The sequence below is a fragment of the Homo sapiens genome, chromosome X (assembly GCF_000001405.40).
Source record: "Homo sapiens chromosome X, GRCh38.p14 Primary Assembly".
In the NCBI taxonomy this organism is placed as follows: domain Eukaryota; kingdom Metazoa; phylum Chordata; class Mammalia; order Primates; family Hominidae; genus Homo; species Homo sapiens.
Genome location: NC_000023.11, coordinates 52,264,461 through 52,277,894, shown reverse-complemented (window position 1 = coordinate 52,277,894; position 13,434 = coordinate 52,264,461). Strand labels below are relative to the sequence as shown.

General features: G+C 39.7%; 1 long non-coding RNA gene across 1 annotated transcript in view; it reads left to right on the top strand.

Annotated features, from left to right (window-relative positions):
- The first annotated feature begins 11,963 nt into the window (after positions 1–11,963).
- Positions 11,964–13,434, top strand: part of LOC105377209 (uncharacterized) — a 70,327-nt gene continuing 68,856 nt past the window's right edge. The window contains exon 1 of the long non-coding RNA XR_938385.3: positions 11,964–12,147. This is a non-coding gene — a long non-coding RNA (uncharacterized LOC105377209). The remainder of the gene's footprint in view (positions 12,148–13,434) is intronic.

Here is a 13,434-nt window from a genome sequence, read left to right as displayed (position 1 = left end):
AGACTCCACCTGAAAAAAAAAAATTAAACAGACACCAGAAGCAGCTTACATTCCACAAATGCTCCTACAATTACGTAAGCAGAAAGGACATTTAGGCACACACTCACTGTACAAGTGGCTGTCAGAAATCAAAAGGTGACATGACATCAAATTAAAAAGGCTACAGGTAATTGTGAATAATGTAAAACTAATCTGGACAAATATAAATATACTAAACCAATATACATACAAATCTGACATCTTTAATTTCTGCTTACAGGTAAATTTTATAGAACCATTAAATCGCTCCTACTAACAAAAATATGCAGTTACAATGGTGGATATATATAAAGGGATTGGCATAGCAACAGCAGCTAGCCACTCATTTGCCAAATATAATATCTCAGCCTTAGAAATTTGGGCGGCTCACTATGGAGCCCCCAAAATGATTGAAAGTGATCAAGCAACTCATTTTACATCAAGGACCACACAAGCATTGGTGGACCAATGGGATATATAATTAAATTTTTACCTACCTTGCAATCTTACAGCAGTGGGATATATAGAAAGATTTAATGGCTAATAAAAAGAGAATGGAAAGCCTTAGACCAAATGAGTACATTTCAACAAGCTCTTAACCTGGCATGTTTCAACTTAAATCAAAGAGAAAGACTATAAGAGCAGCCTCCATTCTTATCTTAATCACCCAAACTTAACTGTCACAAAAGATAAGGAAGAATATGATACAAATATTATACCTTACAAGGTGAGCACTAGACTAAATAACAACACTATCTCCCAACAGGACACTGTGGCCCATGGACACGGAAACACATGTTAGACTACAGGAAACAGGAGAGTTAGAATTAGACAAAATCTCCAATCTCTCTTTACAATGCTTTATTCTAGTCATTGCATTAATATTATCCACGAGAATAAGTGAAGGTGTACTTCAATCCAATTTTGCTTACCACTAATCTAATATTTTTAACTTCAACATCACTCCTAGCTATCACTGGAATAATTAAATACTTTACTCACTTAGGACATCAAGATGGCTACAAATTTGTGTAGCTTCTCAACTGGTCTTATCAACTTTCTCATTCACCTCATATTAGCCATCATAGTAACTTTACTGCCTTGTTATTACTTATATTGCCACCAGGGAGACTGTAACCAGATAAATCAAACTAACACAAGCACACACACCCCTCACAGCAGAAAAATTACAAATTTCACTATCTGCTTGTTAAGTATATTATTTGATTAATAATTTGCAGACTGACAGCTATAATGCATCCCCAGCATATGGACTTAGCCTCTCCAGGATCTCCATCATCCATGTATATCCCGCCTTGCCCTCCTTCCTTTTAAGCTTCAGCCTCATGTTCGCCACCTATAGCTTTCAGAGCCCCTTCACCAGATTTCCTTCAGGAATTAGCTCAAGCAGACTGGCCCATACAGGCAGGCATGGACTGGAATTTCAGACCAGACTTTGTAGAATCTAGGCGCCACTGCCACCTTCCTGCTCCTTACGTTTATGAACTAACTGCAGCATTAGGAGCTATTGAAGGTTTAGTTGAAAGTGTACACCCCAATGACTGCATAAGTCTTGCTTGGCTACTAACCTATTATATAAGTTGCATTGCTAAACTGCTTAATAAGAGAGGACAGACCCCATAGAACTACCTTACTTTGTTCTACCCCAACCTAACCCAGCAGCAATACTACTACTGGAAGCAATCTTTGACTATACTACTTAGAGAAATATTAGGATGACATAGATTATTATATCTTAGTTTGTTTTCAGTGCTATATTTAATGCCTATACATCTGATAATTAATAGCAAACATAAGATTGATGCAAATAGCTTAAAATATGTTAGGAGATATAGAAGGGAAATAACAGATACTACTACTACTACTACTACTACTACTACTACTACTACTACTACTGCTACTACTGTTTATTCCTAAAGTAACCATTAAAATTTCTGAGCCTCAAACACATACATATCCAACAGTGCCAACTCATACAGCACCTAAAATCACACGATTACCAGAACAAATTCCGCAATATATACTTCATGAAAATATATCATTTTTGAACAATTGTTAGAAAGTCAAGGGACTGATAAAAGAATACTTAGAGCTTCAATTAGACTATTTTGTTCATATTCATTTGACCCAAAGCAATGCCTGAAGAGCTTTTAGCTTTTACACACACTTCCAATCATTGTATCTTTATAGAATCTTTGCGCATATTCCTAAACATACTTTAGAAGAATGCATAAATGACATGACTAAATGTGACACCCCAACTTATGCAGCTACAATGAAGCATTCAATAACATCTCAAACCATGGATGGCTCACATAATAGGTAGAGAAATGCTAATAGAAACAGACATGCCAATCAAAACAGTTCATTACATAAGAAGCGCTATATCATACCAATCCCCAATCATAGTACCACAGATAGAACCATATGTTGGAAGATCTCACATGACATGCTTGGATATGATACGACACTCCTACAAGTCATTTGTTAATAGTTGGTATGAATTCTGGTACCAATCTGGACTTGAAGGAAATGAACATTATGATTATGAAGTAGATTCAAGGGATGACACAAGACTAAATATAGCTACAAAACCAACCACTTCATCTTACACCCATATATCAGACCCCCACAGGAAAAAGTGTCAATGCCACTAGGATATCCATTAGATTATGATATAATAACAACAGAAGAGGATAAGACATACTATAACTATCATCTAATTAACTTTCCTAACTTGCTGTTTTTTGGAAATTTTGCCTTCACCCACCCTGTTCATCTTATGATTATTACGCAAAAAGCCAAAATTATTTGACAGTCTCACAATTCTTCTTTTTTCTTTTTATTAGACAAAAGAGAGCTGGAGTAACAATTCTTTAATAAGGCTAAAAAATTCTCACTGGCAGAATTATATTGAAAACATAGATGACACCCAGTAATCTTAACTAATGCTGACTATCACTTTACACACACTACCTTTGAAACACACACTAAAACAATGTATGTAGATAAAGCTTGTCTTGAATACAAGTATACTTATACTTGCCCTCCACAAATAAGGAACTTATAAAGATAAAAAATAGAATCAACACTACCCAACAAGATATACATTTTGAGGGACAACCAACATTAATATGCTTTAACCTTAACTTTACATATATTAAAGCTACATTTCATTATCCCACGGATGAAAACCTTATCCTTGCCCATTCTACACTATAAGTTGCTTACTAACATGGTTACACGTTCCAAGATCAACAGGCTTTACAAAACAAAACAAACCAACAGACACAGCACAATTCAGACTTTGGCATAATAAAACACATGCTAAATTTACAACATTAAATGGCAAACTTGGCTACAATATATCAAAACTACCTTTACACAATAAGCAAAGAGTTTATAGAGAATGTAGACAGATATGTTATCATAACTGGAAAGTCCACTCTATGGTGGAATGTGACAGAAACCAAAGCAGGCTTATGTTGGACACAACCACAAAAACCACACTAGTTCCCAGTCATCACAATAGATACAATGACATAGAAAATCCCTACTAAATTTACTGATTGCTGGATGTCGACATCTTCTAGAAACCCATGGACATTAGAAACTGGACATTAGAAACAGTTATTTTTGATAAATTACAACAAACAAAATGGGAACAATTAATATTCACATCTACTCACAGACCAGATATATACAATCTGCTATTATCTAACTCACTCTTAGTACTTGGACCATTCACACTGACCTACAAAACAGCAGAGGTTATTGGCACATTCTTTACAGGAAATGAACCAAGAGACATAACTATATTAGACAAATTTACCAGGAAAACTAAGTATATACAAAATCAAGTTATTTTTACAATGTATCCACTGGTAATTCAGGATGATGTAAACTTTAATTTTGAAGATGTAGATAGAAACAATACACAATTTAAGTCAATTAACTGGTGGGAAACACTAGGAACCAAAATAAATATGGATAAAGTCACAAAAATAGACTCAGGTATGTCAAATTACTTTTTCTTCATGATTCAGCCATTTGATGGATCATAGAATAAAGTTATATGGTCAGTCCAACATCCTATTTATCAAAATATAGCCAAACTAGACTCCCACTTACCTGTATTTGTAGCTAGAGATATCTCTTTTGCAAAATGCTATGTTAAACCCCAGAACCTTGGGCCATGCATAATTCGCAGAGGATGCTGGACTGACACATTGCTTAGGAACACACCACTGGACACCACAGTGTACCAAAGGAATAACAAACCCTCTATCTAAATTATGAAAACCAAATTTAGTTGAACCTATCCTAATTAACCCATTAAGATTAATTTACAAACCAGCACCTAGGAGAGTCAAAATATTTTTCAAAAAAGAACTTAAAGTCACATACATCAAACCACAAGTTATGTAATTTGAGGGACAAGGATATGACAAGCAGTTCATTTTACCAAATTTACCTTCACTAGATAAATATCATCTAAGAAAACCACCACAACTATTTGCAGCAATTGGAATTATTTCAAACTCAGTCATTTCAGGAATACAAGAAGCAAAAATTTAGGAAGTTAATACAGACCTATGAACATAAACGTAACTCCTGCAAACAACTACCACATCTATACTTTCATCTATCTCATAGGCAATTAACGAGATATAGTCAATGATGACTCATACACACGACCTCCCAGAATCCCAAAAGGAATTCAATTACAATATTGATCACAAGTTAAACACCTAAAAACTAACCTATTTACATTAAGAAACTTTATGGTGAAAAACTTGCTGCAAACACAGTGTATTAGGCTAAGTATTTTACTAACTCAGACTTGGAATGACATAAGGAACATTATACACATCAGGAAAATTATTCACAGAAAATTGGGACAAAATGTCTATAGTTAAATTGGATACATCCAAAGCATCAGGATTCAGGGCAATGTATATTAAATCTACTTGAATTAAGAGGAGGAGACTCAATGGCATAAGACACAATGGCAATTACACAGAAAGATAAGACATAATCTACATATAACTGCCTTAGAAAGACCACTATTTATTGATGGTTATTTTATACAAAAAGAATTAATATTCCAATGATCAAACACTATATACTCTACCTGTCAGGACAAAGTTCCTAAACTAGATTACTCAACTATCAGCATCACGAAAATCCCCACAATGACTCTAGACTTATGAAACTTCAATTAGATAATAAGCTTAGAGAGGAACAACACACTGACCTATTATAACTGTGAACCCTGAATATCTGAGACAGGTCTCAGTTAATTTAGAAAGTTTATTTTGCCAAGGCTGAGCACACATGCCTGTGACACAGCCTCAGGAGGTCCTGATGACATGTCCCCAAGGTGGTCAGAGCACAGTTTGGTTTTATATATTTTAGGGGGACATGCAACATCAATCAACATATGTAAGATGAACATTGGTTCAGTCTGGAAAAGGCGGGACAACTCGAAGCAAAGGCTGGACAACTCGAAGCAGGGAGGAGACTTCCAGGTCATAGGTAGATAAGAGACAAATAAATGGTTGCATTCTTTTGAGTTTCTGATGAGCCTCTCTAAAGAAGGCAATCAGATATGCATTTACCAGGGTTATTCCTTGCTGAGAAAATAATTCAGCGATATTTCTCCTATTCACTTTCTGAAAGAAGAGAAATATGACTCTGTTCTGCCCGGCCTCACAGGCAGTCAGACTTTATGGTTATCTTCCTTGTTCCCTGAAAATCGCTGTTATCCTGTTCTTTTCAAGGTGCCCAGATTTCATATTGTTCAAACACACGTGCTTTTCAAACAATGTGTGCAGATAACGCAATCATCACAGGGTCCTGAGGTGACATACATCTTCAGCTTACAAAGATGACAGGATTAAGAGATTAAAGTAAAGACAGGCATAGGAAATTATAAGATTATTGATTGGAGAAGTAATAAATGTCCATGAAATCTTCACAATTTATGTTCAGAGATTGCAGTAAAGACAGGCATAAGAAATTATAAAAGTATTAATTTGGGGAACCAATAAATATCCATGAAATCTTCACAATTTACGTTCTTCTGCCGTGGCTTCAGCCAGTCCCTCCGTTTGGGGTCCCTGACTTCCTGCAACATCCATCTGCTGAGAACTTCCACTCAATAAAACATTGCATTCATTCTCCAAACCCACATGTGATCTGATTCTTCCAGTACACCAAGGCAAGAAATCCTGGCATACAGAAAGCCCTCTGTCCTCGCGATAAGGTAGGGAGTCTAATTGAGCTAACACAAGCTGCCTACAGATGGCTAAACTAAAAGAGCACCTTGTAACACACTCCCACTGGGGCTTCAGGAGCTGTAAGCATTCACCCCTAGACACTGCCTTGGGGTCAGAGCCCCACAACATGCCTGTCTGCATGCTCCCCCTAGAGGTTTGAGCAGCAGGCACTGAAGAAGCAAGCCACACCCACATCACATGCCCTGTGAGGGGATAAGGGAACTTTTCCTCTTTCACAAGGAAGCTCTAAGGAACTTCAACAAGTTCATGACACATTCCAAACAGAATTAGCACAATTAAAACACACCACTGAGGTAGTAACACATGGACTAGCAATACTAAACACAAATAAAATAGCATTCAAACTAGATGGCTTACACAGAAGATGCATCTTCTTCCAAATGATTAAGAAGACTTTTAGCCATACCCCTTATGAAGGCTCATGGTCAGACTGGAACCCAATCAATATATTAAAAACTGGACTCTGGAATTGGTCTAAATATATCTGTGAACATTTACAGAACGTTGTCATCTTCATTGTAAACATCCTCTTTGCTTACCATATACTTAAGATCTGCGTTTTCAGCCTTTGTAACACAAAATTGTAAACAAGTTACCAAGAGGAAATTAATTCCCATGGTGACTTGTCATTTTTTATTTTTGTAACCCCTTCCTCAAACATTGTTTGCATTATGATTACTAAAATCTTGGAGTAGATTGTATAGAGCACCCTTGACATAACTAACACCATCTTAGAAAAATACTCCATTTTATATTTCATAGGGCACTTTGCCAACAATAATAGCATGTTTTGTTTAATAAACAAATAAAACATGAAGACTGCATCCAACCAGATAAGGACACAAACAAGCACTCTTCCACGATCAGCTCTTACCAGAGGACCCTGTGACTATAAAAGATTAGGCCTTCAGCAGTTTCAAACATCTGTCTTAACTGACACCTTCTTGCAATCAATCATGACAAGAACTTGGCATTTGCTGCCAAAGGCTCTGCCACGTCAAAGACTTCCTTGCAAGACCCATGGACCACTCAGCCCAGACCAGGACTCTTTTTGTCTTCTTCACCCCCCCTGGACTGGTTCCTTAACCCTTTGTCCTCTTTTTCCTCTCAATGAAAAAGTTTTACTTTGATGAAAAGTGTTACTTTGTTGTGGAATGTTTAACTTATAACACTTATAAATTGATTTAGCATACTGTTATGTATGGTTTGCAATACTGACTGACTTGTGGAGTGGCTTGAGTTTGTGTGCCTGCTGCTCTAACTACCAGGTGAACGATAAGTGCTAAGGAGAACTGCCTCCTTAGGAACTCCGTGTAGCTTGTGGCTTTTACGACTGAATTAGCATCAATAAAAGCCTGATATTGTGGAAAGGCACAAGCACATGTGGACCTGGTTATGTCCAACTTGTCACCATTCATGGCAGCTGTGGTGCACCAGTCTGTCCCACCCTCTCTCCCAGTTCCCCACTAAAGACTCCGGAATCCATCCTCTGTGTGCGGTTTCATAGCCTCAAAGGCTCAGATGCCTCAAATAATGTCCTCCTCCAAAACTCACCTCATCTTCTGCTGACCTTCCTCCCCTCCATGACCCACTTTCCTCCCCTGTCCCACAACGACAAGGCTGGCGGCAGAATAGCCACCTCTTAAAAGAACAATGACCTCCAGGCCCTTCCCGCTGTGAAGCCACCTACCACACTGCCTGACCTGCCCAAAGCCTGCTAACTCCACCTGACACTTCACTGACACTTAAACTCCTGGGAGGACTGACCTATGGACCTATCAGCTGTGTCTCAGTCATCCAGAAAGAGTCCAGACGGTAGGAATGTAACCAGCACCCGCGCAGCTTGGCGGCATTCACCACGCAGTGCGAAGGGGCAGACGGGAAGACACCCAGCAAACATGTGCACTGAGGCCGGCTCTTGCCTCTTAGACTGCAGTGCCCCGCCCCATCCTACTCCACCCTGCCCCTTCCCAGGTCCCCACTAAAAACTCCAGAATCAGTTATCTGTGGGCAGTTTCATATGCCTCCAGGACTCAAATACTTCAGATAGTGTCTCCTTTCACAACTCACCCTTTTCTGAGCTGATCCACCTCCCCTCTATGGCCCACCTTCCTACCCTGTCCAGGGGGCGCCACAACAGCAAGACCATAGCGGCATCGTAGAATAAATACATTAAGACCTGTTTCCTTTTTTTGGTTACGTTCTTTTACATTTAAATCTCCTGACTGGTAACTGATTTCCCTGAATATGCCTGTGGTCACAGTGCATGGTTCAGAAATATCCATAGATACTGGACCTAGGATTTAGGCTCAGTCTACTCTGACATGAAGTACAGCAGTGGTGACTATACTCATCATATGCTGTACTCCCCAAATATCAGCCAAATAACTTGTTGATAAGCAAAGCTAACTTTATTGCATAAGGCTGTAAGGAAGAGTACTTCCTGAACAGGGTCTTAGCAGAGTCTCAGAGGTAGAAGGATTTGGGGGACACTTATTCATATTTTGAAATCTGGCATAAAGCAGGTCTTTCAATGTAGGGGAAGGATGTGATTGGGTGGGAATAGTGATATGCTGGTTTTAGGTTTGGTGGACACAGCAAGTCAAGGATTTTAAGGCAAGTGGTTCAAAGAGTCTTGAGGTTGTAAAATGCCATTTGGCACTTTTTACTGAACAGTGGATAGGCCTTTTATGCAGTTCCTAGAATCAATAATAAAGTTATGTTCAACTTTTATCTTCGCAGGCAAGAGATTATTGTAGTAATAATGTTATGTTAATGAAGCCAGTGGAATAGTAAACTCTTGTTCATATAGGCAGTAAGCTGTGTGCATGGTTTCAGTTCTCATTACTTACTTTTAGATAACTTATGAGTGTGGTAGGTCATATAGGAAAGGGAAGGAGAGGAAGGGGGCCTTGATGAGCTAGTAGCTTTCTGTTAGTAAATTAGGACATATGTGTGTGTGTGTGTGTGTGTGTGTGTGTGTACATATATCCTATTCATACATAATAATTGTACATATTTACAGGGTACAGTGTGATATTTTGATACACATACACAACTTGTAATGATCAAATCAGGATAATCAGCATATCCACCACCTCAAACATTTAGCATTTCTTTGTGTTGGAAACGTTCAAAATCCTCTTTTATAGCTATTTGAAAATATACAATAGATTATTGTTAACTATAGTCACCCTACAGTGCTAAATAGACGACTAGAGATTATTCCTCTTATTTAGTCTTAATTTTGTATCCATTAGCTAAACTCTACCTGTTCATCCCCCACCCTTCCCAGACTCTACTAATCTCGATTCCACTCTCTACTTCTATGAAATAAAAGCTTTAAGCTTCCACATATCAATGAGAACATTCGGTATTTATCTTTCTGTGTCTGGATTATTTCACTTAATGTCCTCCAGGCTCACACATCTGAAGCCCATACATGTTGCCTCAAATGATGGGATTTCATTCTTTTATATGACTGAATAGTATTCCATTGTGTATACATACACCAATGTAAATTAGATTGTATTTTGTTTACTTATTTCTTTTTTATTGATACATTGTTGTACATATTTATGGGGTACATGTGACACTTTGATATATGTATACAAAGGACAATGACTAAATCAGGGTATTTAGGATATCCATCACCTCAAACATTTATCATTTATTTGTGCTGGGAACATTTCAAATCTTCCCTTCTAGCCATTTTGAAATATATGATAATTTATTGTTACCATTAGTCACCCTACTGTGCTATCAAATAGAAGTTATTCCTTTTACTTAATTGTATGTACCCATTAACCAACTTCGCTTCATCCCACCCACCCCCTGTTCCCAGCCTCTGGTCACCAAAATTCTACTCCATTAGATCAAAATTTTTAGCTCCCACATATGACAGACAACATGTCTCGAACTCCTGAGTTAAAGCGATCCTCCTGCCTCTGCTTTCCAAAGTGTTGAGATTATACATGTGAACCACCGATCACAGCTTCTGTTTTCTTTTAAGATGTACATTAAACTCACATTTGTGAGTTTTCTCCTTCAGTCAGAAGAGGAACACTGACTCTTTCATCTGCCCCTTGGAGGTAAATTTTTCTTTTTAAATAAACTATGACTCCATTGAAATTCTTATTTCAACCAAGTTTATGAAGCACTGCCTCATTTAAATTATCAGGGCTATATTATGCAAAGATTTAGAAGATTTGAAGCTCCTCCAACCCCAAATCAACTGAACCTTACTTGGTGACCTGAACCCTCACCTCTCTTCTGATTAGGCTATTTCTGCTTTGGTTGAAGATGTTCATGGATCCTGCAAGGAAAATTCAATTTCCCTAATGTCTTGACATTTCCTATAATCACCAAACCTGTAACTATAGTGGATCCTACTCAGGATAAATGTGGTTTTAAGTTTATATCCTGTCGTAGGTTATTATATAAAAAATAACTACAGGGATTTGCTAATTATATCTCCATTGTCTAGGTAATATACTTGGGAGAGGAAAAAAAGCATTGCTTCTCTTGTTTTTAGGGTGCTGGCCTTCCTCCCTCTGGCTCCCCTTGAGCAAGGGATGAAGCCATTTCTGAGGTTTGGCAAGTTAGCCTTATGGGCAGGGCATGTGGCTATTTGCTCATGGGATGTGACACTCCAGTAGGGTTGATTTTAGCTGGATTCTGGGAAGACCATTTTATAAGGGAGTCTCTGTTGCAGATTCAGTTTTAAGGAGAGCTTCTTCCACTGTGCAGGGCATAACAGGGTAATTGGCTCTACCCCAGTAAGGGCTTTAGTTTTAAGAAGTGCCCAGTACACTGCCAGGTGGTGCCTCGCTCATGGTGAATATCTTTGGGCTTAGGCTGGGAGCCACTTACAGCAAAAGCTGATGGGTAGGTGTTTGCCTATCCATTTGGTCCAGAGGCGCCTGGAAGCAAATTTGGCATGGCAGAAAATTCTCATTGTAAGTCATGCCTTTGGAGCAGATGAGAGAAGAGAAGTAATAGCTTCCTTTAGTTTCTCTAGTGTCTGTTGCTCAGGTCCCCACTGGAAAGCAGAAGACTTAAGGGAGACTCCATAGATAGCATCCAGCAAATATTGGATGTGAGGAATGTCATGGTGCCAGAATCCAAAGTTTCCTACCACATGTTGGGCTTCCTTAATAGATTTGGAAGGTTGGAGCTCTGGGGACTTGTTTTTCTACCATATTGGGAATAGTTTGCCTTTATGAGTTCTAAATGTAGCCCCCAAATTCAACCGTTGAAGAGGGGCCTTGTACATTATGGAGAAGCAGTTGCCCATACCCTCACAGTGAGGTGCTCACTCATGGCTGCAAGGGACTGTGAGACAGCATCTTGGTTACGTTCAGTGAAGAGGTTGTCGTTGATATTATATGTTCCATGCTTTTCATGATCTGTCACGTGCCTACATTCCCACCTCATCCTCTGCCTCCCCAATGTGTACCTTTTGCCATAGTCACTGTGCTCCTCTAGGGAGCAATGAGTGCTACTGAGTAAACACATGTACATTGTCTCTGCATGTGCAAGGACCCTTGTGACAAACACATCTATTGAGAGTCACGATTCCATGTCTGTGGGTGGCCTCCCATGATAATCCTCTTAGTTTCCACTCTTTTGTTTGCTATTCTCTGGAGTCAGATGGATAAAGCTTCAGTTTCCCAGGTAACCAACCATGGATCTGAGCTGAGTGACCCAGTGCCGATGTGAAGAAGAATGTTGCCAAGACAACGGAATCCATACCCCTTTCCAGCACTGAGGCCTTCCTCCCTCTCACTACCTGCTTGGATCTCAGGTGAGAATGGGAATTTGCTATGGCTAAAAGCGAGGGGATAGATGTGTGGTAGAGGGTTCCAGGAGAGAGGAGAAATCTTGGGATCCCCTCAGAAGGGACTGGAGGGGGGACAAGAGTCACCAAGAAAGCCTGCTGCTGGGCACTGAGATCCCAGGAGACAATGATGACTATGAAAATGCAGTGGTTCTAACATGTGGTTCTGTGATTTTCTCCAGCAGTACACAGAGCTACGAATATTTTCTGACTCTAAGCTCCAGGGCATAGACCCTGAGAAAGAATTTCTGTGTTCATAAAGGGCAGTGGAGCCTGGTATCACTTGTGGAGGGCAGCTGTAAGCCTTGAGGAGGCCCTGCTCACCTCAGCAATAACTCTCATCTGTTACTCCACTCTGTGTGTCTCTCTTCTGGTCCTCTCCTCTTTCTGTGCTCTGTTGTCAGGGTCAATTTATAACAGGTTAAAATTGTCCTCGGTTAAAGGAGAAGAGGAGGCAAGGATGTCTCAATGCCCTCTTCCACGGACTGATAAGACAGTGGGCAGAGGGGGAGCTGGAAGAGATGGTGTGCAGAGACCACAAATTAATTCGTGCTTCTCAGACCTGATTGGGGGCTTTGATGCATTTACTTGCTAAGACTGATCTGATCTTCATTATGAATGTATAACCTCTGTACTGGACAAGAAGGTGAGAAAATACTGGAGTTATGTTTAATCTGGTGTCAGCTGATGCTATCATGTGAATGGTCCATTTGTATAAATGCTCACCCTGTTTTGCTGAAAATGATCAGTCTCCCAGTTTTCTGCCCCACCTCCCTACTCCTTTCCAAGATGATTAATGGTGCGTATGGCTTTCCAGTCTTCATGGTGATAATGGGAAGGGGTCGGTGACATCTTATGTTGATTGCAGTGTTCTCGGTGGCTTGTGAGGGAATCTGGTGCTCCCAGGCTGACTCGGCCTTGGCCCACCCGTGCTGGCATCAGCAGACCCCTCTGAATCTGGGCCTCATCTCCCTCCCACATCTGGGCAGGGCTGTCCACACCACAGCCTCAGCTGCAGGGTCACCTAGCCCCTATCTGGCTTATGCTTGTTTCATGGTAGCACCCCTGGCTCTTGAATCAGCCACTTCCACAGTCCCCCTCTCAGAGAATGTTAGCTCCCTGCAGGAACCAAGATCAGCTCCAAAAATAGAAATTCCTGAACTCCAGCCATTATTCTAACCAAGGAGCTCACTATTTCATCCTGCAAAAGTAAACTTCTGAGTCCTAAATTTCAGTTGGGCAAAAATCTCTTTA